General features: G+C 36.7%; 1 protein-coding gene across 3 annotated transcripts in view, besides 1 other annotated feature; it reads right to left on the bottom strand.

Annotated features, from left to right (window-relative positions):
• Window positions 1-1,118: 1,118 nt before the first annotated feature.
• Window positions 1,119-25,492, bottom strand: part of DOK6 (docking protein 6) — a 448,200-nt gene continuing 423,826 nt past the window's right edge. For all 3 annotated transcript variants that reach the window (NM_152721.6, XM_017025610.2, XM_017025611.2), the window contains one exon: window positions 1,119-8,962. In NM_152721.6, the coding sequence (NP_689934.2) occupies window positions 8,823-8,962 (140 nt within the window). In that variant the 3' untranslated portion in view covers window positions 1,119-8,822. The remainder of the gene's footprint in view (window positions 8,963-25,492) is intronic.
• Window positions 10,480-10,981: an enhancer, noted in NCBI's record as "H3K4me1 hESC enhancer chr18:67506461-67506962 (GRCh37/hg19 assembly coordinates)". NCBI's record gives its function as "activates a minimal SCP1, AML or CMV promoter by ChIP-STARR-seq in naive H9 embryonic stem cells {active_cell/tissue: H9 hESC(naive)}" and the evidence as "EXISTENCE:reporter gene assay evidence [ECO:0000049][PMID:30033119]".

Raw genomic sequence — 25,492 nt, 5'->3', positions numbered from 1 at the left:
CAAGTTCATACAACCAATTTGTTACGAAAATGTATCACTAAAAATTCATATTCAGAATAAGCTGTATTTCATTCAATATTGACAAAGAATGGGTGATTTCATCATCATTGCCACCCCTGAACATTTTTCAAACTTCTATTGGCTGCATAAAATGGAAAGGTCTCATACATTTTTCATTGTTTTCTTCAATTCATGAATTTGGCCCAGACTTACCCATTGAAGGGCATTTTTAACAGTACTGACTGCTTGATTCCTTTTCTCTCACCTAGTTTGATTTCTCTGATATTATTGGAGCTTCACACTCTCTTTAAAAGCATTATTCTCTAAAAGGAAAAATACTCATAACAAATTAATCTAGTAAGCCCATAAGAAATGCCCAGCTAATATTTAAAGGTTAAGTTTGAAAAACAGATTCTGTAAGTGTATTTCTAGACAGGTCTAAATCTGAGTGGCAAAGGCTACTTAATCATGGGCTGAAAAATAAAAGAAGCCATTGATAACAGCATGATAGTCACAGCTGCATGCATTTCACTTTTGAAGTTAAATCTTTATCTACCAAATGATGTTTATTTTCAATTTTTTTTTTTTTTTTTTGTCTATTAGCAGAGTTCTGTAGGAAAAGCCATTGTCTAGCTGTGCAACATTATGCAAGCCAGTTAAGCTCTCTGAATATCTTTTTTTTTCTTTGAGGGCGAGTCCCACTCTGTCACCCAGGCTGGAGTACAGTGGCACGATCTCAGCTCACTGCAACCTCCGCCTCCCAGGTTCAAGCGATTCTCGTGCCTCAGCCTCCTGAGTAGCTGGGATTACAGGTGCCTGCCACCACGCCCAGCTAATTTTTGTATTTTTAGTAGAGACGGGGTTTCACCATGTTAGCCAGGCTGGTCTTGAACTCCTGGCCTCAAGTGATCCACCCGCCTCAGCCTCCCAAAGTGTTGGGATTACAGGTGTGAGCCACCGCGCCCGGCCTGGATATCCGAAAGTGTTAATCTCTAGTGTCATTTTCCATATTAAATTCTATAATTCCTTCAGACCAGAGTCAACCTAATAAAAATTCAATTATATTAAAAGATGGAGTTAGGAAAACGTTGGAAATACATAATAAATTATCGGTAACCTTTCATTTAATAAAGGGCCTTCTTTCACTTTATTTTCAAAATAGCAAGCTAATAAGTGAAGGAATAAGTAACATTTTAAACATTAGCAGAATATGATTGTCAGAATTTTGTTTAATTACATAGTTACATTTCATCACATGATAACAAAAGTATAAGAAAACCAAGTAATATTACAGTGTTAGCTTTATGAAATAACTTGTGGGTAAAACCATCAATTTAGTTGTTCAAAATCTCAGCCATGCAAAGTTGTGATGTAAAGTAGTATTTTTGAACTGCTTTACCTTTAAGTGATGGAGCAAACTTTAATAGTGCACAACCTCATAGCAATATCATTTGTAAATTTTTTAGAATTATGAATAAGACATTGTTAACAATAGGTTTATTTATTGATGGTTAAGATTAAAAACTACGACTTCAGAAGAAGGTAATTTTTCAATTATGTATTTCATGTATTTTTACCAAGGGGAAAAATCACACAGACAGATTTAAAAATAATTTAATTTCCTAATTTTATTATTGCCTCATTATTATAATATTTTCTGTTCTGCTAGAAATTCACATTTCAGTTCCAGGGACAGCTGTTGCTTTGCATCTCATCCCAAAACGTAGTTCAGCTAGTTTTTAAGTACAGATGTCCCCAAATTATCATTTATCTAGAATAGATTGTTACTAAAAATGAAGTATGCCAAATCATGTATTTTCCAACAGAAGCAAATTTATAATGGGTGTTTTATTTCTTAACAAGGGCCTAATGTCCAAAGTTATTTCTTATCAAAATGATCATAAACATTATATTGAACCAACTACAGATGACATCGCTTTATGATGTACAGTATAAGACTTCACAAAGTATATATAAATTAATTAAATAAAGATTTACAAAAAGCAAATATATAACACATTATTTAATATATTTTAGAGATTCATAGGGATAAGGATTTTGCAGGATGGGGTAATTCTGTGTGAATCTATTAAGGAAAAGATAACTTCAGTGGAACACACAGAGTGGGTCAAAAGCCAAAAATGTGTGTGTGTGTGTGTGTGTGTGTGTGTGTGTGTGTGTGTGTGAGCATGCACTAAGGTTGGGGTGGAGGGGGCCTCTGCAGGTCTTGGAAAGTCTCCTGTCATCTGCAGTAAAGATGGAACTGGCTTTTATGTCAGGGAGCAGCCTGAGTTGTTGATGTCATTTATGTACTGCTTGCTATAACTAAAGTAATACAGTATTTTGTAACTGGAAAGAATCATACTCTGTTATCAGCTTTCACAACAAAGTTGGAGCTCCCACACTCTACCTGCTGATACATATATATATATTTTTTTTTTTTACAAGAGTAAGCATTATTTCTTGAACTATGCACTATACATGTGAATCTGAATTTGATTTCAAATTATTTCATATTGACATATTTTGCTCATTTCTGATGCAAATTTAATATCAAGATACTACTATCATTCTGTTCTTTATTTTCCCTGGCTTTCAGTCCCTCTGTAAAATAGTTAATGATCTGGAACTACTTTCTCAACCATTTTCAGATGTTTTCTTTGAGAGAAATCCTGCAGTGACTTAAAAAAATTAAATCATTATCTCAGTTTCCTTCTTTGCCTGACTTTGGGTTTCTGAATTTCGGACATCTGATAATAAGCAACTCTTTTGAGGCTGTGGGTCTCTTGAGGGAATTAATAGAACAATTCAATCCTAACATTAGCACAGCTACAGGCTGAGAGTGTAGACCTTGCTCCATTCGATGTTCAATTCTGTGCTGACAGAAAGGGTTGATTTTATGCTCACAGTCTAAAATCATCCTAAAAGCAGGAAAGAGTGAGGAACTTAATTGTTTCAACTGCTAACATGGGCCCAAAATAATGATTAGAAAATTTAAATCCATTCATTCTTCTGACAACTGGAATGTGGAGTTCAGACTAGGGAAGCAGGCATGGAAGATAACTTAAAAAAAACTTACTAGTTAAACAGAATTGTTAGAGGGAATATTTCTACTACAAATGTATTTTTCCTCTCCCCTTCAAATATTAATATTTACAAGATGTTAAAATCTTAAGGTAGGAGAAAAGTGTCTGAAAATTACAAGTATAATGTGGTTTTCATATTATTTAGTAATTTTAACATATTTCTTATTTAAACTTCAGTTAATTTAAATCATTGTCTACTGAAGATTATCAGGAAAAACCTAATATATAAGGTATTATAATGTAAAAAAGTCATTTCCCCAATTCTTGTTGATAATGGAAGCTTCTTGAGGCTCACATGAAAAAAATGTAGCCCTGATGTTATCAATTATGCAACAAAGTTGTTAAAAATGCCATAAATAATGACACCGTAAAGTGCTAGAAAGTGATAAAGATTCCAAAAATTATAATCACAATTACTATGTGATTGTGATGAATTAGTAGGACTGCTAAACACAAACACCTACTTAATGTGTTTTACTTTGACTACCACTTTAGGATAAGATTGAATTTCAAAGAACTGGATGACAATATATGAGTAAATAAAGCTTATACCAACCATTCATGACCTACCAGAAATCTAATGAATTGCCCCATAACACCTCTCTACTGATACAGCTGGTGATGAGTTCAGCAAGAGTAGAGGCATCTGAAAATCTGGGAAAACACTTAAATGTACAAGGGTTTATTTATTTTGAGGCCATATGGCATTTCTCAGCTCCCACTATGTCAAACTGGGAGATGCCATGGAGCCAAGGAAACATTCCTAGATCAGGACCCTGGAACTACGAGAAACAATTCTTGGCTCTTTCTTTGCCGTTAAACAAATTACAGCATCCATGGGTTTCAGTTTTCTCCCAAGGGAAACATAAAGTGGGACCTTGATTCTACATGACCTTTAAGGGTGCTTCTAGATCTAGCTAGCATTCCACCTGCCTGGGAAATGTGCCCAACTTCCATAAGAGTCTATAAACTGTCTAGTGCCTCCTCTGCTGGCATAATTGCACGAATGCTACAATAGTCACATTCTTCAGTAAGAAGGTAAGGATTTGTGGCAGGTCTGCAGAGAAAATGTGGGCAATCTTCCAAATATGTTAATAGAGAATGCACACATGAGAGTGTGAGCTTGTCTCACAGATCCAGCCCCGCACACCAGTCTCACCGATAATTTATGTTCATGATAAAATTCAAATGAGGTTGGCTATATAAAAGTGATTCTCATGTTTCTGAAGACACATTTTACTGTGGGGACTTGGTTACACATTGTTTCTTGTTAAATGTTTTTCACTAAGCCGAAAGACACATCTTTGTTGGGAATGTAGTGACTTCCTCTAGTGGCCTTAAGACATAAAGCAACAGATGTCCTCTGTAAATTGCATACTCAGTATGAGGCGACAGGGAAGAAAGCCAAGCCCATGACACTGGCCTTGGGTTAGAATGTTAGAAAGGTAGAGACCAAGTGTTACTCTGGACATTTCATTGTATTCTTTATCATTTAACCTAAATTGTTGCGTTCATGACTAGTTGCCATCCTGCCTCTCTATTCTCTCCATGGGAGACTGCACTTCATACATTTCATAGTCTGCAAACACACACCCCATAAATTGCATAAGCTAAATTTGTGTGGCATGTCACCCATTGTTATAGCTATTAATGCATATTCAGTGGCAAATTTTTATCGATTTTGAGAAGGCTGTGTTTGGGAGATCATATAGTTAATGACGGATGAAGTAATTTGAAATTGCAAGGTATTTACAGACATGATCACAGGATTGGAGAAACATGTATAATTTTCTCTTTGTGCAGTCTTCAATATAATATTTTAAAACACGAATTGTTAAAGCCTTAAATCTCAGTTCCATTAGACGTATACTGCCCATTTATTGTGCTGTGTTATAATAATCAAAACTGGAATATAACTTTTTAGGAGAATATCATTTCCTTAGCTTGTTTTCACTGTATCACTAATGGCCAATTTTAGTAAATGGCTCAAATAATCTAGGGAGTAGGGTCCCCATGCTTTTTTACAAAGTTTTCTGTGATACTGGCCAAACAAGGAGGGGCACACATCAATTTTTATCATGTGTTTTTAATATCTACAATAAAGATACGACATGCAATAAACTGGATCTGTAGAAACTACTACCAACAATGTAAAGTTATTTATCAGTCCACTCTTTCTACACTGAATAGAAAGTACAAGAGGCTCACCATTTTATAGGTGATGAAAGATTTTCAAACATAATTTCCCAATGAAGACAGAGAAGAATTACGCAAGATACTAGGACTAGTTCTCTAGTTACTATTTGGTGAAAAAGGTGAGGTTTACTTTTAATAAATATGTTTCCATTGATTTCACATGCTCTATCAAACAGCATCTTCCCTCATATATAAATATATATTTCTTATTTTATTGATTTCAAATTGTGGCAGTGGCCAGAACCTATTGCTTCATACATATTTGCAACCTGCATAAATAAATTAGTTCTGAGTGCTTATTGTTTGTTCAATAAGTAAGTGAAAGATGTGTTTTCTTTTCCGCCTCTGCCCCCACCCCCCAGAATAGGAAACTATTGGATCAAGGTTGTTTTGTACTCTCCTGCATTTTAAGTGTAATATCATGCATCAATCATGTGTACATTGATTAATATTATCAGAAGAAAAAATTGGGAACATAAAAAATAAGTCCCCTCGTGTAATCTCTCAGTGAAATAGATACCTCCTCTAGGCTTTGTCTATTTTCAGAACTGCTATTCCTTACGTTGGGTTCCTTTATCATTGGTCTCTTCCAACCTGATGCAGAAATGGTGACCATCTATTTATCTGTACAAATCTGAATGGAATTCAAACTGAGTCACTTTCAGAAGGAGCCAAAAGATATCTTTGGTTCATAGTAATTCCTCCCTCGCATTGAAAAATACACATATATTAAAGATATAATACAATTTTTGAAGGGAGAAATGACTTACAAAGTGTAGAGGCATCCCCAGTCAAAAACCTACGAGCCCAAGCGAGTGGTATACATCTCCATGACCCTTCTGGTTGCTCCAGTGAAATTGATTTTATGAAGTTCCAGGAGACTGGTGCAGTGACTTTCCATCTTTGGTTTTGGTAGAAGATTTATCTGTTTGCCGTTTTTATTACAATGAACCCTGCTTCGTGTCAAGGATATTAGTCTAATATAAGTTCTCCTATCTGTTCATTTAGCAGTCTTGACTCAGCTACAATTGTGAGTGTACTTGGAGGAGTATGCTAGAATTAAGCTCCAAAAATGTACCATGAGATAGATTATAGCATTCTCCTCATTGTGACGAGATCTGGTTAAAAACTTGGGAAGGAGATTTCTCTCACACATACTCTTTTTACGACATCATTTTCAGAATGAACTGGCCCGAGGTTATGCCTGATCTTTGGTGCTCCTTCAGTTATATTCATTGGTAATGATCAGAACCAAATGGAGTTCTTGAAGCAATTACATACAGGTATTTGTCTCCTAAGAAAGAGACACAAGAGCAGACTCATCTGATTAGCAGAATCCCTCCCTGGACTCGCTGTTTGTGCTTCCAGCACATGAATAAAGCTGAGATGTGAACCAGGACCCCTGAGGGCCGTTCCCCATAAGTCCCTTGTAGAAACTTGTGGTGTCTAAGCAACAGCTCAACTGAGTGAGCCGGCGAGAGGCTTGCTCTGAATGTGGCCCCACTAGGAACTGTGCTCAAATGGTCTCAGCTGGGAGTTGCTCTGGTGTATTTGACTAAAGGCATTTCAAAAGCAAATGCCATGTGCAAAAGAAATTCACAAGTGTTTAACCCCAAAAGCTATGATTTCAAGGAAGGCTGTACAGTTGTAGGAACCAGTCATCTGCTCCTCCGCTGTGTCAGCAAAATTCACAGTGCAGAGAACCTGGGTAATTTTCTTTTTATCCCTGAAAGCTTAGGATAATTATTTTTTGCAGCCACATTAACTCTTACGATTAGTATCTTGATGGGGTTTTCATACCGAGTGGAGTGATTTGGAGAGCCTAGGTAGTTGCTGTAAGTGCACATTTATCTAGGAGGGATCCGGAACCACTTTTATTCGGTAGTAATTCACTGAAATGAATTGTCAATCTGCACTCAAGCTACAGATAGGGATGAAAAGACAACTCATCAGAGATCAGCAAAAAAGGTACCCTTTCAACAGACTAATTTGGATAGTTTAAAAAATTTTCCTATTAAGAAAAAAAAAACCTGGGTTTTCATCTTGCGTGACCTGAGCTCACTGTTCTTTAAACCCACCCTAGAGTATTTGAGAGATAACCATCTTAGGCACAAAGCATCAGATGATTCAGGCAGGATAATTTTTATTTTTACTTAACTCCAGAATTAAGGGCAAATATATCTTTGTTGACCTGAATTAGCCAAACTCAGTTTCCGTGGAATTCACTACCTCCCTTTAAACACTGTAGGTTTGTAATCAGTGTCAGGGATGATGAAAATTATTGATCTATTTTATTTCTTATAATCTCAGACAACCTGTGTCCAGTAAAAGAAAAAATAAAGCCCTGCAAGTTCTGGTTACACAGTAAATTACAAGCCCCCAGTGGTTGTGTGAGAACAGCATCTATGATATCCACAATCCTGTACCCATTTTGTTCTTCTCTTTACTGCAAAATAGCTGAGTTCTTTATGGGTGTATTCTTTCTTTCTTAAAGAGTTCTTCATTTAGAACCTCTCTTTTCTCTCAAGGTTAAATGGAAGCTGATCGGCGTTCACATGGAATCCTCCTCACGTAGCTCAGATGGATGGCCACAGGGAGCAACATTGTCAGCAACAAGGAAACGCTCACCAGAAAGACAGGGTATGACATGATGTGTAGGACAGCTAGACTGGTTCTTTTGCTTCTGAATGTTCCCCTTCTCACATTTTTGCTTACACTTGTTAGGAACAGACTGGATTACATATACTTTTGCTAATAAGAAGCCTTTTTTTTTTTTTTTTTTACAGCACTATTTTAAAAATAGCTATTCAACATAACAATCTTAACTTTAATGCACCAAATTATGGTTTTCAACAATTTAAGTGAGCATATCCTGTCACCCTCAGCACATGTTTGATATATACTTGTTATATATAGATGGATATAGCAATATCCATTTGTCTACACACACACACACACACGCACACACACACACGAGTAGAGCTACAGGGCCCTGCTTAATAGTGTGTTCTGAATTTCATGTTCCTTTAATTGTCACTGGGTTTATTTATATGCAGCTACGATGTCATTTGCAGAGCTTACTGTATTTATCCCTGTCAGAACTTTAAAAGCCACAGAGCTTGTGGAGGGTCACCATTATGTCTAAGGACAGACCCTGTGCTCAGATGGGCGGACTGCGCTGTGAGGTCAGTGAGAGGTGCCCATCACCCAGGCATACCCCAGTGTGGGCAACTTTTCCCAGTGCTGAGGTTTCTGTTACTGTCAGACCCAAAGAATTTTGTTTATTTAAATAACTGTTCATACGATTTGGATTCTATTTATGTAAAACATAGATTCCCCCAAAGAAATTCAATAAATAAAGGACTTAGCCACTGAATCAAGGAAGCAGAACTCCAGTTTTTAACCTTCCAATGGGACTGGGGCTAGAGCCGACCCATTTCAATTTGTACTGCAATTGGTCTTCCAGGAGGCAGAGGGTAATGACCCCACAGACGGGTCCAGGACAGACTGTCTCTCTAGTCAACAGCGGCTCTCTGTGTGTCATTGGATGAGGCTGGAGCTGTAGCTGAATCCATAGCTGCTGGACCGCGACAACGGCTGCTGGGCCTCTTCACTCTGTTCTGGGGCGTAGCTGGGAAATGTCTGTGCACGAGACATCTTTGACGAACCAAACCCATGACCTAGAGAGGAAGAAAGGAGAGCTCTACTGAGAAACAGATTCAGAAGCACAAAAGATACACTATCTATCATCTATCTATTATCTATCTATCTATATTTTTAAGAACAATAAACAAGGCAGCAGCTTTCACATCCTCAATATTGAGCTCAAGATAAGTTGGTAAAAATTGAGCAATCTTGTTGCCTTGATCCTTGATGAATTAAAATGTATTCAGAGCTCAATATTTCCTCCAAATGTACTTTGCCAAAAATTCTGGATGCCAGAGAGCTAGGTAGATTTTCTAGGGAATCTGAAACTTCTGCTGTTCTTCAACTTTTGAAATAAAAGCAGAAAAGCTTTTCCCCAGAAAAAGCTGTTTTTAATGGAGAGCCTGTAAGCTGCTTTCTTTTCCTTTATGCTCAATTTCAGCATATAAAAGCAAATTACACACTTTCTTAAAATCTCTGGGAACAGGCAAGCTGTGCTTTACCCTAACCAGTAACCATGAATTATCAGAAAGAAAGCTTTTACAATGATAGAGATTCTGACTTATCCTAGCCGGTGTGTGAGTCACCGTCACTGAACTCACTTCATGATATGGTTAACCCAAACAATTAAGCTCGATGGCTACCAAAATGGCCAAAAGTTAAATTCCATACAAAATACATTTAAAGAAAATTCTGTCTATGCTTTTGGTTGTTCAGCTGCACCCCTGCATGAGAAATAGTCTATCGCAAACCGAAAACAGAAGTGATTACCGAAAACTTTTCAGAATGCTAACAATGTACAGAGAAACGCATGCATGCTAACTAAAGCTTCTGATGAACTTTCCAGTCGTTTCCTCATCTTTATTTGTTTTTTCCCCCTCATCCTTTTTAAGCCAGCAATTATTCTTCATACTTGAGAATGACTTGTATCTAATGGATGAGCTTAGAGGGAGAAGAAAAATAGATGTAGTAAGTCATGCTCTTTCAGAGTTTCTATTTTACCCAAAGGAGGGACTGTGCTGAGTCTGATTTGTGTGTCATCTGATCGCCTGGGCGAGGAACACAGAGAAGACAATCTGTTAACGCCGAGCACCGACCATCTCTGTGTCAGGCTCCGCAGGTGGCTCTGTCCTTGGCAATGTCACTCGCTTTCAGCCTGTTCTATTGCCAGGTGTGTTTGGCGACGTGGAAAATACTCTCTCACTGTGGGAAGCTTGGGATGCAGGGAGGAAACTCGGATGAACTGGGTGGTAAAAGGCTAATTAGAACGGAACCACTTAACCACTTAGCGGTAGAACCATTTAAATGTCAAAATACTGAGAGAAAAATCTTGCATTAAAAAAAAAGTTGTTTTAGATTCACTATGTCCTGGATTCTGTTGCTGTCCACGTCAAGGAAAGTGCACCAGGCTCAGCAAGAGGGGATCAAAGAGAAGAGGGGCTTTTCCCTCGCACCTCCTGCCCCACGCCCCTGGCTCTGCCACCGCCAGTCCTCTGAGCTTCCAGAACTTTCTGCCCCACGGCGCCTGGAGGCTCTACTAGTCCCTCCTTCCCCTCTCTCCCAGGGTCCTGCCCCGCACTCCTCCTCGCCTGGCCCGCAGGCCTGAGGGTGGTGATGCTTCCTGCTGTTGCGCATGTCTGCATTTTCTCATCGGTTCCCCCAGCTCTTGAAGCAGCCTCCTCATCAAATTCTTTTAATCTCAGCTGAGTGCATCTTCTTTCCTGCAAGACCCTGATGATATAGTGAAGGAAAAATGAAGCAGGGCAGAGGAGGGGAGGAGTTAAGAGAGTTAAAGGATGGGTTAAGGTAGTGATTACCAAAGAAGCTAGGAGAGGAGTTAGGGGCGGAACCAGGGGAGGGGCTAGGGAAGGAGTTAGGGGAGGGGCTAGGGAGAGACTAGGGAAGGAGTCATGGGATAGACCAGGGGAGGGGCTAGGGGAGGAGTTATGGGAGGAGCTAGGGAGAGACTAGGGGCAGGACCAGGGGAAGTGCTAGGGAGGAGTTAGGGGAGGGGTTAGGGAGAGACTAGGGGAGGGACTAGGGGATGAGTTAGGGAGAGACTGGGAGAGGAGCTAAGGAGATGAGGCTCGGGGAGAAGCTAGGGGAGGAGTTAGGGAGAGTGGGGAAGAGCTAGGGGGAGTCTAGGTGAGGGACAAGGGGAGCGACACAGGAGGGGATGGGGAGGAGCTAGAGGAGGAGTTAGGGAGAGACTAGGAGTGGAGCTAGGGAGAGACTAGGAGTGGAGCTAGGGGAGGAGTTAGGAGAACATCTAGGGGAGGAGTTAGGGGAGAATCTAGGGGTGAGGCTTGGGGAGGAGTTCGAGGGACTAGGGAAGGAACTAAGGTAGGGGCTAGGGAAAGAGGAGCTAATGGAGGGGCTAGGGAAAGAAGCAGTCATGAACTAGGGGAGGAGCTGCAGGAAGAATTAGGGGAGGAACTAGGGGAGGAGTTAGGGGAGCAGCTAGGGAAGGGATTAGGGAAGGGGGAGGAGCTGGGGAGGCTCTAGGGGAGGGGCTAGGGGAGATTTTAAGGGAGTAGTTAGAGGTTAGAAGTAGGATCTCTGGAGCTAGAACACCAGGTATATATGTTGCCTCTGCTACTTCCTAGCTTGTAACCCATCTTAAGGGAATTACTTCATCTCTGGGTTTGTTTCCCTATCTAAAAATTCTGGATGGTATAGTGGCACTTAGCTTATATGATCCTTTTGAGTATTAAATCAATGAGTTAATCCATGCTAAGTGCTGCCACCATGTCATGGTAATCGCCAAATAGGATTGGTAACTAGGGAGGTCAGCAAAGGCCTCCCTAAGGAGGTGGCATTTTGGCATGATGAAATGACAAAGTTCTGATACACTAAGCTGATATGGGAAAAAGCACTTAAAAGTTTTGATGATTTTGTCTCATCTTACCATTGACTCTAGATGACAATTCATAGTTTCTGTAATTGGGGATACTGGCATTTATCAGCATAAGATAGCTGGAAAGTATAATATTAAGATAATGCTCCTGGCCTTGGTTTTATCCTGTTTTTTTTTTTTTTTTAAAGTTTTAGACATATCTGAAAGAGAACAAATGCTGAGGCAGCTTTAATTCACACTACTTGTGGGCTGAGAAGTGAAGCTTAAGTTATAATAAAAAAATATAAAAAAAGAAAATTCAAATTAGACTTTGCTTATTAACACTTTTTTTAAATCCTAGAATCTTAGATGTAAAAAGTCAATCATGCGATTAATATTAACCATCATCTATTAAAAAATTCCAGGCTCCACAGGAAAGGCAAAGTGTGGAAGTATGACTTTTAGAGTCCACATGCTGTTTTGAATGATGGTCAAAGACAGACAACAATAAACATCAAATCAAGAGTCCATACAGCCAGTGCTATACAGGGTCACAGAGGAAAGCCAATGGGGCTTAGAAGAGCATGTTATAAAACTGTACATGTCACTTCAATAATCACAAATAACTTCCTCTGCACAGTGTGCAAACTCCCCCACTACCATGGGCTTTTGAAACAGACAGACATGAGTTCTTCCATGCCTTTTGGAGCCTCATTTTTTTCTGCATGGGGAGAATATAGTTTCCCAAGGTATTTTCAGGATTTAAATGAAACAACATATAGGAGACACCTAGTATGACAGATAGGCAATAAATGTTAATTTTCTTTTTTCTGCACTAAAGGGGTGATATTCTTGCACTTTTTTTTTTTTTTGCTGAACACCTGCGCTTTCTCCACCATCTCAACATGCTGTCTCTCACTGGTAATTGGTTCACATTTGTCCTCCAAAGTTTGTGTGTTGATAGCTTAATTTTCAATGCAACAGTGTTGGGCAGTGGGGCCTAATAAGAGGTTATTAGGTCATGAGGGCTCTGTCATCATGAATAGGTTAATTTCATTGCCACCGAAGTGGGTTAATTATGACAGAAGTGGCTTTGCTATAAAAGTGAGTTCTGCTCCTTCTTGCTGTCTCATCCTGTCTTGCCCCTCAGCCTTCCACCACAGGATAATGCAAGAAGAAGGACCTCACTAGATGTGGGCCCCTCAATATTGGACTTCCCGGTCTCCAGAACTGTAACAAATACATTTCTTTTCTTATTAATTACCTAGTCTGTGGTATTCTGTTATAGCAACACAAAAAAGACTAAGACATTCACTATGACATACTTAGAATATTCTCCCCCTCAAGGTCAGCATCGCTTTCTTCACCTCCTCTGTGAAGAATTTCTAGTCTAATTAGAAATTAAATTATGATTTTTCTTACTGCAACCGTTTCTTTACAGATAATTCACAAATGATGCTATTTAATACATATTACAAAAATAGCATACCTCAGTCAGTACTCTATATATGAAGGTTTTGTAAATGCTGTCTGATTTTGGCAACAATGAGTATGAGAATAAAAAAGAAATAATTAAGCATTTTTTCAATGTTCATTTGAATTATGCCCCTAGACAGTGTTGATGGAAGCAAAACAAAATAAAAATCAACTCTGTGGCTTCAATTAAAAACCTGATGCAACAGCCTTGCTCATCACACTATACAAGGACTCTAGTTAAATGCTTCCTAAACTTTTCCTCCAGATCACCCACTAAAGACAAATAAGGCAAATATGTAACTTTGGAATCTAAGGGATGCTACAATTTAAAAGCAATAAAATTGTTAATGGTTATTGGTTTATTTTAAAAGTCCTCTTACCTTTTCTAATCTATTGTGCATTCATGTTTGTTTTAATAGAAAATACTATTTTCTACCCATATATCTAGGTAATGTTGACAATCTGGGGAAAAAAAAAACATATCACATTTATCTCATAGTTCAAGTATACTCTGAAATGACATTCATACTACCACTACCTGCCAGCTTCTCACTAAGGTATGTATACATGCCCTAGAAATGTAGTCCCATTCCATAAATAAGAAAATATATTGGCTACAGAGACATTTAAAACATTTGCTTTATTCTGCCAAAATTATATGACCCTCTCTCTAATTCCAGGAACTCAAGAGTATCACACAATAAAAGCAAAACCACTCTAGCCTTAAAAAGAAGCTTCCCTGCTGTATCATAAAAAATCCAAACCAGTAATGAACTAGAAGGAGCACAAATTCAGTAGAAAATAACAATCAAATTGAAATGCAAGACCAGAGATTCACATTATGAATGGAAGAAAAAATGGAGACTGACAACACATTGTGAATATCCTCTCCTTCCCGAGGAATTAAGAAATGCATTGTTGCTGACACAGAATGACCAACAAGGGTTCCCTTTTGGCTAGTCTCTGAATTTTTATCTTAATAACACTGATTTTATTCTTGATATATACTATGAAGGAAATTGTTTTTGTAGAAAGTCAGAAAGATCCCAAAGCATAAAACTTGCAGTATTAATTGGTAAAAGACAATGGGCCTGGTAAAGCTATTTAATAGTTTGAATTTATGTGTTTTATTACTTTGTTAGAATCTGGGGGAGATAAAAGGGTACTGTCCCTATAAATAACAAAGAAAACAACAAACAATGTGATAAATAAATAACAAAGTCATCTGATGAGGACACAAGCAGCCCAGAGTCAAAGCATTAACAGTTGGGCCTAGATAGACACAGAGGAGACGCTGTCATCCTTTAACAAGTAAGCTTCTAGCCATTAGAGAAAAAAGGAGCGGGCAGGCTGCAGATGTAAGCATGGATGGATGGTGGAGACAGAATGGAAGGAACGACTTGGGTACAGAAGAGAGCCCTTTTATTTATTTCACAGGCTCTTACTGCAATGAATTGGGGGCCAGAAGCTGTTTTTTTTTTTGTTGTTGTTGTTGTTTTTTTGAGACGGAGTCTCGTTCTGTCGCCCAGGCTGGAGTGCAGTGGTGCGATTTTGGCTCACTGCAAGCTCCACCTCCCGGGTTCACGCCATTCTCCTGCCTCAGCCTCCCCAGTAGCTGGGACTACAGGCGCCCACCACCATACCCAACTAATTTTTTTTGTATTTTTAAATAGAGACGGGGTTTCACCGTGTTAGCCAAGATGGTCTTGATCTCCTGACCTCGTGATCCACCCACCTCGGCCTCCCAAAGTGCTGGAATTACAGGCGTGAGCCACCGCGCCCGGCCCAGAAGCTTCTTATGGTGATATGGTTAGGCTTTATGTCCTCACCCAAATCTCCTCTTGAATTGTAATCCCCAGATGTTGAGGGAGAGACTTGACGGGAGGTGACTGGATTATGGGGTTGGTTCCCCCATGCTGTTCTTGCGATAGTGGGTGAGTTCTCACGAGATCTAATGGTTTTATAAGTGTTTGGCAAGGTCCTGTTTTGATCATTTGCTCTCTTGCCTGAGGCCAAGGAAGATGTGACTCTTCCCCTTTCGCCATGATTGTAACTTTCCTGAGGCCTCCCCAGCCATGCAAAACTGTGAGTCAATTAAATGTCTTCTCTCTATAACTTACCCAGTCTTGGGTATGTCTTTATAGCAGTGTGAAAATGGACTAATACATACAGAGTATCTAATAATTGGGCAGTTAAGTAAATGTGAAAACCAGATGTAAGTAGAAGCAACCCAGGGCTCTCTACGACATCTTGTAATAAATAAACTTACTATTTAAATGTATGTTTGTATATTTTTTATTAATATATTACAGTTGCATATATTTTGAGAGAACACATGATGTTCTGAAACATGTATAGAATGTGTAATGATCAAGTCAGGGTAAGTGGGATATTCATCATCTCAAGCATTTATCTCTTTTTGTGTGTTGGACATATTGGAGTTCTTTACTAGCTAATTTGAAAAATACAATAAATTATTGTTAACTATAATTTATCTACTATACTATGGAATACTGAAACTTATTCCTTCTATCTAACTGTATTTTTGTTTCCATTAACCAACGTCACTTATCTCCTTCTTCCACTTTCCCTTCCAAGCCTCTGGAAACCACCGTTCTACTCTCTATCTCCAGGAGATCCACATTTTCAGCTCTCACATATGAGTGAGAACGTGTAATATTTGTCTTTTTGTGCCTGGCTTATTTCACTTAACATAATGACCCTAGTTCCATCCATGTCACTGCAAATGACAGGATCTCATTCTTTCTTATGGATGAATAGCATTGCATTGTGTATATGTACCACATTTTCTTTATCCATTCATCTGTTTATGGACATAGGTTGATTCTCTATCTTGGCTATTGTAAATGATGCTGCAATAAACATGGGAATGCAAATACCTCCTTGACATACTAATTTCCTTTCTTTTGGATGTGTACCTAGAAGTGGGATTGCTAGTTTTTTTGAGAAATCTCCATTTTATTTTCCATAATAGCTGTACTACTTAATATTCCCACAACACTTGAGCATTCCCATTTTCCACATCCTTGACAGCATTTGTTATTTTTTGTCTTTTTGATAATAACAGTTTAAGTGGGGTGAGATGATATCCCATTGTAGTTGTGATCTGCATTTCTCTAATGATTAGTTATGTTGAGCTTTTATATCTACATATCTGTTTGCCACTTGTATATCTTATTTTGAGAAATGTCTATTCAGGAGTTTGCTTATTTTTACATTTTGCTTTTTTTTGCTACTGAGTTGTTTGAGTTATTTATATATTCTGGTTATTAATACCTAGTCAAATCAATAGTTTAGGAATATCTTCTCCCATTCTTTAGGTCGTCTCATTTATTTGTTAGCTTTTTTTCCTTTGCTGTGCAGAAGCTTTTTAGCATGATGTAATACCATTTGTCTATTTTGCTTTTGTTTCCTGTGCTTTTGTGGTCTTACTCCCCAAAATCTTTGTCCAGACCAATGTCCTGTAGCATTTCCCCAATATTTTCTTTTAATAGTCTGAAGTTTTAGGTATTACATTTAAATCTTTACTCCATTTTGAGTTTATTTTTATATGTGGTGAAAGATGGGACTCTAGTTTAATTCTGTGTATAAATAACCAGTTTTCTCAGCACCATTTATTAAGCAGACTGTCCTTTCTTTAAGGTATGTTCTCAGCATCTTTGTTAAAAATGAGTTGGCTGTAAGCACGTGGATTTATGTCTGGGTCCTCAACTCTTTCCATTGTTCTGTGTTTCTGTTTTTTGCCAGTACCATGCTGTTTTTGTTACTATACCATTGTAGTTTAATTTGAATTGGGATACTGTGATGTCTCCAGCTTTGTTCTTTTTGCTCAGGATAGCTTTCGTTATTTGGGGTCTTTTGTGGTACCGTGTGAATTTTAGAATTGTCTTTTCTACTTCTGTGAAGAATGTTATTGGTATTTTGATAGGGATTGCATCGAATCTGTAGATTGCTTTGGGTAGTATGGACATTTTAACAATGTTTATTCTTCCAATCCATGAACATGGAATATCTTTCCATTTTTTTGTACTCTTCAATTTCTTTCATCAGTATTTTATATTGTCCCTTGTTGTAAAGATGTTCACTTCTCTGGTTAAATTTATTCTTAGGTATTATATTTGTATTAATAGCTATTGTAAATGAAATTGTTTTCTTTATATTTTGTAGCCATTGTAAATGAAATTGCTGTCTTTATTTTTTTTTCAGATTGTTCGCTGTTAGTGTATAGAAACACTACTGACAGGCCATAATGAATAATGAGATTGAAGGAGTAATAAAAGTCTTCCACCAAAGAAAAGCCCAGGACCTAGTGGAATCACTGCCAACCTTTGCCTATCAGTAATACCAGTTTCACTTAAACTATTTCAAAAAATTGAAGAGGAGATAATACTTCCAAACCTACTCTATGAGGCAAGTATGACTCTGATACTAAAACCAGAAAAATATAGAAAAAAAGAGAAAACTACAGGCCAATATCTCTGATGAACATAGATTCAAAAATTCTCAACAAAATAGTAGCAAATAGAATTAAACAACACATTAAAGAGATCATTCACCTTAATCAAGTGGGATTCATCCTCAGGATACAAGGATGGTTTAACAATCAATAAACATGATACATTACATCAACAAAATCAAGGACTAAAACTAAAACTAGATCATTTTAATAGATGCTATAGAAGCACTTGATAAAGTTCTACATTGCTTCATTATGAAAACCCTCAAAGAATTGGGTATAGAGGGAACATATCTCAACCAAATAAGGGCTATTTTTTACAAACCCACAGCTAGTATCATACTGAATGGGGAAAAATTGAAAGCCTTTCCACTAAGAACTGGAACAAAACAAGAATGCCCACTTTTACCACTTTTATTCAACATAGTACCAGAAGCCCTAGTCAGAGCAATTACGCAAAAGAAAGAAAGGGCATCCAAATTGTAAAAGAAGTCAAATTATCCTTGTTTGAAGTTGTTATGATCTCATATTTAGAAAAATCTAGAGACTCCACTAAAAAACTCTTAGAGGTGGTACATAAATTTACTAAAGTTGCAGGATACAAAATCAATATACCATATATTAATTATGCTTAGCAATACTAGGACTTATTGCCAACATCTTTTCTATAAACTGTATCTGAATTTTACTCAATTTGTTTTAATTATAAGTCAAACCAGACTAGTATGGTTATGATTTGATCACTGTGCTCTCCTAGAGTGCTTCTGAAATTCCTTTGGAGATCTCAGGGTCTCAGTAGCTTCATGACCTTAAGTAGATTTGTTGGGGGTGTCCAGGCTCATATTCAGCACATTTGAGAAATGGGGAATGAAGATCAATGGTTTCAATCCATAAAGACAGTGATGTAGAAAAGCCATAATATAATAACCACTGTTCATTGAGCATGTATTTCATGTAGATCCAGTGCTAAGTACCTTAGAAATCATATTTTAAAAATCCTCATATCAACTCTGTACAGTGAGATTGCATATTGTGATGGCTTTTATGTGTCAGCAGGAATGGGTTAAAGAATGCCCAGATAGCTGGTGAAACATTATTTCTGAGTGTGTCTGTGTAGGTATTTGAGGGCAGGTTAGCATCTGAATCAGTAGACTAAGAAAAGAAAATCTGCCCTCACCAATATGGGCGGGCATCATCCAGTCCATTTGGATAGAACAGAAAGAGGAGGAATGGCACATTTTCTCACTGTTTGAGCTGGAACATCCATCTTCTTCTGCCCTCAGACATCAGAGCTCCAGGCCTTTGGACTATGGGACCTACACCATTGGCTTTCCTGGTTCTCAGGCCTTCAGACTTGGACTGTGTCTCACTTCTGGCTCTTTTGGGTCTCCAGCTTGCAGATGGCAGATCATGGAACTTCCTGGCCTCCATAATAAGGTGAGCCAATTCCCATAATAGATCTCCTCTTATATATCTATATGTATCCTACTGGTTCTATTTCTCTGGAAAACCCTTACTCATACACATATCTTCATTTTACATGTGGAAAAAAAATAAATTAGAAGCTCAGAGGTATTTAACAACTTGCCAAGCTGGATAGTGCAGAAGAAGTCAGACCTAGGTTTCCTGGAAACAGAAGCCAAAGCATTGCCCTGAACATGTTCTCCTTTTCCTTATAGAAGTTCTTTAAACACATGGGTCACTTTAGGATACAGTACAGCTTCAGAGAAGAAGTAATGTCAATTTTCACAACTCAATGCCTTAAGACTTGATTCACGTTCCTTCAAAATTGTGAAGTGTGTTGCTGAATAACAAAAAACAATTCAAACAGGTAAAGCTATGTCTTAGTCTGCTGGGGCTGCCATAATAAAATGCCACAGACTGGGTAGCTTCAGCCACATTTATTTTCTCAAAGTTTTATAGGCTGGAAGTCCAAGATCAAGGTGTTGGCAGGGTTGCTTTCTTCTGAGGCCTCTTTCCTTGGTTTGCAGATGGCCATCTTTGTGCTGTGTCCTCACACGGCCTTTCCTCTGTGTGTGAGCATGTCAGTTGTCCTAATCTCCTTTTCTTATAAGAACACCAGTTGTATCAGATGAGGTTCTACCCATATGATCTCATTTTACCTTACTTATCTCTTCAAAGATCTTATCTTTAAATACAGTTGTATGTGGGTTTAGGGAGTCAACCTATGTATTTTTGGGGGGATAAAGTCAGTCTATAACAAGCTATAAAAATCAAAATGAATCAGGAGACATTAATTCATAACATCTTTTCTTTTTCTAGGGACTTTTTTTCTTCCAGCTTCATTGAGGTATAATTGGTAACAAAAACTGAACATAATTAATGTACATAATTTAGTGGGTTTGGACGTTGGAACAATTATTTTCTTGGCCTTTTTTCTGGAAGGTATTTGCACTTGTTTGTGAAATTATATAATTTGGCTTAAAATTACATACAATGATTAAATATGGCATGTAATTTCTGATTCTTCAAATTGTCAAAAAAATTAGTTTTAATTTAATGGCTGTTATATGTCACTAGGTTTCTGACATAAACTGTCAAATTGCATTGCACTAATTTACATTCCCACCTAACGGATATAAAAGTACTTTCTTTCTTAACATTAGATATGAATATTATTAGATTTTTAAAAATCTTTTTTCCAAGTTGAATACAAAAAACTACATCTCATTGTTTTGTTAATTTCTTTTTTTTTTTCCTATAGAAAGTATTTCATTTCTCGTGGTCAAATCTGTCTTTGTGTTTTCTGGGTTTTGTGTCTTGATAACAAGTCTTTCTTCATTGCAGTAATATTAAAATATTTTCTCCTACTTTCTTCTTAATACTTTCATAAATTTCTTCTAACTTTAGCTCTTTAATTCATTGGGAATTTATCTTGGCTCTCACTCTAAATTAAGGACTCCTATATTGTGTAATGGTTAATAGTATAAACTCTAAAAGAAGACTACTTGGTTTGACTTCCAGCTCCACTACTTACCAGCTGGGTGACATCCAGAAAGTTCTTTACTCTTTCCCTCAAGTTCCTCAGCTGTACAATGGCAATCATAATAGTTTCTACTAATAGAATCATGTATTAAATGAGTTAGTACATAATGGTGCAGGATAATATTAGATAACAATAGTGTTAGTTTTTGTCTGGTTTAGAATTTTTAGAAACTTCTCTTTGTTTCCAGTGTTTTAAGCTTCAGGATGAAAAGCTGTATTTTTTTTTTTTAATTAAGGAACCAAAGTCTCTCATTTCCAAGAAATATTTAGAATTATTAAAATAATTTCCTGTTAATTATTTCCTTCCATTTCTCTGTTTTCTCTCCCTCTTTTCCACCTCTGTTCTCTTTTTCTGGATCATTTCTTAATTATATGTTCAAGTGGTGTACTGATCTGGTACTTTTCTAATCTTGTCTATTTTCACTCTCCTTTTTGCTGCTTTACTATGTGGGAGATTTGTGATTTCCTTAACCTCATCTTTGAGATTTACAGAATTAAAAAACATTCTATTACCCAAATGTTAATTTATAAAGGCTTTTATTCCCCTTCTCCCTTCACTCTCTCCTTTCTCTAACATACATACTATATATATATATATACACATAAATGTATTGCTATTAATAATGGGACTTTCATCTCAAAGCTTGGTTCTTTTTTGTTTATCTCATAAGTGGATATGCAACTATTCTTTACTTATATCTTTAAACCTTAGATAGAAATATTTGAGTGGGAAAACTGCCTATCATTTAATTTTATGTAGTGCTCAGCCCACAGTTATAAAAAGACTGGTAGGTTAACAGCAATATCCAAACACTAAAATATAGTGAATATAATGTAGTTTATAATAATTTGATTTGTCTTGAAGATGGTTTAATTTGATTCAAATAGAATTATATTTTCATAGCTATTTTATAAATTCTCCATAATAAAAATAGTCTTATGTCTCTTATTTTAGTCAATGTAGCATTCATTTGTTTCTGTTGCTTGCATTTAATTTCTCTTGTATTTTAATTATTGTAATTACCTAGTGAGATATTAATTTTCTACAACTGCGATCTCTTTGCAAAGCTTAGATGAATTCTTTACCATTAGCAAATAGATAATTCATTTGAATAATTATGAAGTTTATAAGCAATCTGTGACAGCCAGTAAAATGGTAAATGTTAAAATGGCATAATCTAAGTGAAAACATTATATAAAGACTGGAGAATACATGAAATAAAAATTCACTAATGTTGATTAACAAGAGGAATGGGAAAATATAATGAAAAATTCAGGTATTTAGTTTTTAAACTATAAATATTTCATTGCTATCTTCAAAGTCTCAGTCATAAAGAATATTATATTAAAGTATCTTTGTTTTAATTTCTGAACATATTATTAGAGAGTTTTAATAATCAAGGAACTACTTAGGATGATGAAGTACAGTATTCCCGGTTTAGATAGAGATCTGAACCATAAAGTGAGCTATTTAAAGAAATTTACTGAAACACCATATTAATGTCCTACAAATCAATAACAAGAATAATACATGTAAGTTTATAGTTCTTAAAACGATATATTAAGAAAAAACTTGAAAATTTTGCTACATTTCTTTTCTAAAAATTTAAATGAATGCAAGAAAACACATTTTCATGAGAATGAGACTTCTCTGCGCAATATATACTTAAAGATTTGTTACAAAAGAAATAGTATAGACAAAATTATTGAATGTTACGTACATTTACAGAGGAGTCAGTATGCAGAAAGCTCAGGCTACATATAAGAAACATCATGAAATTATTTAAAATTTACTATCTGGCATTCATATAATGTAGCACAATTTTATTCTGTGGTGGATACAGGGTTAAGCTTGCATTTAGTCCAAGGGCTTTTGAAATGACTTCGACGATATGTGTTAAAAAAATTTGCTTAACTTGATAAAGATCTGAATTTTCATCTTACTTTCTAGAAGTTTGATATGTAATTATCAAAATGAATTACCAAAGAAGAAGTTTGCCTAGGGCTTTTCTTTCTGATAACTGATTAGATTAATTTTTCAGAGATCTGGGAAGCATTCTGATCATCAGGAACAAAATTTTGACTTTCATATTTGTAAATATTCCCTTTGTCACTCTTATAAGGCTACAATGTCCAAATGGTCATGGCTTTAAAACTTTTTATGTTTCATCATTATGAATTATACCCAAATCCAAATGGCAAGTAGTAGCAGATGAGATTGGGAATGGAGAGGGAATCAGTCATGGAAAGTTTGTTATACTCTACCAAACAGATTGGATAATTTTTTCTAATAGGTGATAGGAAGCTTTGAATGATTTTAAGAAAGTGAGTGATTGGATCAGATTTATGGTTTGGAAGCTCATTCAATGGGACTACCAAGTAGCTGCTTTCAACTCTGTTTCCACTATACTATATCTGATGAGTAACAATTTATCCCTAGATCAAACAATTGTTTTTATGCAAGACTAGTACAGAGATTAAAAAGAAGCTTCTGGTTTTATTTGCATTTCCCAAGGTTTAGTAACAATTCCCCATTTTCTGCAGCAAATTATAATCCTCTAGCATCCAATAGGAGAGTTGAGAATTGTGGATACAGATCTATATAAGAATGGGACCAGAAGGGGTGGGTATGATAGGGAATTGAGAAAGTTTATTCTTACTGAGAAAAATCTATAATTATTTATTACAGTTAAGTTCATGATTCTAAGGTCTGCATTATACAATGAATAAACCATGCAATAATTTCAGAGCCTAGAAATCTGAAATCTAAATAACTTTCTAGTTAGTAACACCTACTGGACTGGATATTGCAATATGTTTCTACTAGTATTGTAACCATCCCAATAGAAAGTAAGAGATCAGAGATTCATGAAAATGGAGTCAAGATTGTAGGAGAAAGAAGGAATTTTCTTGACATTCCTCATGTTTTAGGAGAACACTTTTCTAGGTGGGTTTAGCAACCCTTATTAGCCATAGTACCACTCTGCCAGTGGGCAGCAATAAAAATTGTCATCTTAACCCCTTATTAGTCTTTAATGTATTAATTGGAAGAATATATTTGAGATATATTTTTATGAATTATTTTTCATATTAAATACTAATGTTTTTGGCTAAAGAAATGTACGTTCAGAGTAACTGCTACTTTACAATATTCTGGTCCATGTTCTGATGGAACTGAAAACCTGCAGGATATGGAAAAGGCTGAGAGTACAGATGCCAAGGCCAGTCCTAGCACTTACCAGCTTACTTTGGGTCAAATATAATCACATATCAAGTAGCAGAGTGTTAGGCTCATGATAATACTGAAAGCTTAGTGAGCACTAGCAGTGTCAGACATCCCATTTATGTCAATTTACTTAATAGACCTGATAGGCCTACAGGAGAGGTGCTCTTATCCTCATTCTTAGATGAGGACACTGAAGTACACAGACAGTAATGGTGGAACTCAGGCTACCAGCTCAAAACTCTTCACTGACCTCCAAAATGTTAACACTGCCATACAGCACAGTGATTGGGGAAAAGGACAATATTTTGCAAATAAAAGCATATTTTACAGGCAAAGGTGCAAGGCAAGCATCATGCTTTTTTTTTTTAATGCCACACTGTTACAAGATTTTCAAAAGAGCACAGCATAATCTGAATTATTTGTATTTTGTATGTACTTGACTATGAGAATATTTTTTCCCAAACATTTGTTATCTCTTTACGTTTTACTTTCGTTTCATAATTGTGAAAGTCAGAAACATTAGTGTTTCTGTTTTATTTTATGAGTAATAATCATTTAATAGAATAGAAAGTTAAATCTTGAATAGAAGTTATGATTGATCGAGACCATCCTGGCTAACACGGTGAAACCCCGTCTCTACTAAAAAATACAAAAAAATTAGCCGGGCGTGGTGGTGGGCACCTGTAGTCCCAGCTACTCGGGAGACTGAGGCAGGAGAATAGCATGCCCAGGAGGCAGAGGTTGCAGTGAGCCGAGATCGTGCCACTGCATTCCAGTCTGGGTGACAGAGCAAGACTCCGTCTCAAAAAAAAAAAAAAAAAAAAAAAAAAGAAGTTATGATTGATAAACCGTTTGCAATGTTCTTGGATTCTTGGATTACATTGGTGACAATGGGTTGGCTAATGTTCCTAAATTCACTCTGTGCTCTCACTACTGCAGTAGAAGATAAGAGTATTTTAATGTAAACCATTTATGTTTCCATAATTAATAACATTGACTTAATGCAAATTGGTAAGTCACATAAATTAAGTTTTTCTAAATCTTACTAAATCAAAGACAGAAACAGTTTATGTTTGTTCGAGTCTTTTTGTCTCTAAGCCTGCACACAAGTCTCTATACCTCTATCAAATTTGAAAAAAACTTCCTGTACTGGGAAATTTGGGTAGCTCTTTGGAGAAACATATTAGTTTATGTTCTCTCTCTACATTATAGATGAAAAGAAATTACAAAGACCTTGAGAAATAAGGAAGTAGATAAGCATTAAGTAACACTAGAAAGAAATTTAGAAAAATAGTTTGAATTGTGAGATTTTTCTAAGTACAAAAGCAGTTGAAGTTGAAATGAATGATCATTTGTAATTTTTCAAGACTAAGACTAAAAGAATCATACCCTGGATATGACTCCTCTCAGTCTTCACTTCATTCAGTCCTGCGGAGCCGCAATTTAAAGTGGCTTTCTCAGGACAGGGCGGTACCAATCTCCTTTAATAAATACCATTTGGGTGTTCATTAACACTTCAGCCTGGATTCACAAGGGGTCATGAC

This window comes from Homo sapiens, chromosome 18, assembly GCF_000001405.40.
Source record: "Homo sapiens chromosome 18, GRCh38.p14 Primary Assembly".
Classification (NCBI taxonomy): Eukaryota; Metazoa; Chordata; class Mammalia; order Primates; family Hominidae; genus Homo; species Homo sapiens.
This window is presented reverse-complemented; position numbering and strand designations above follow the sequence as displayed.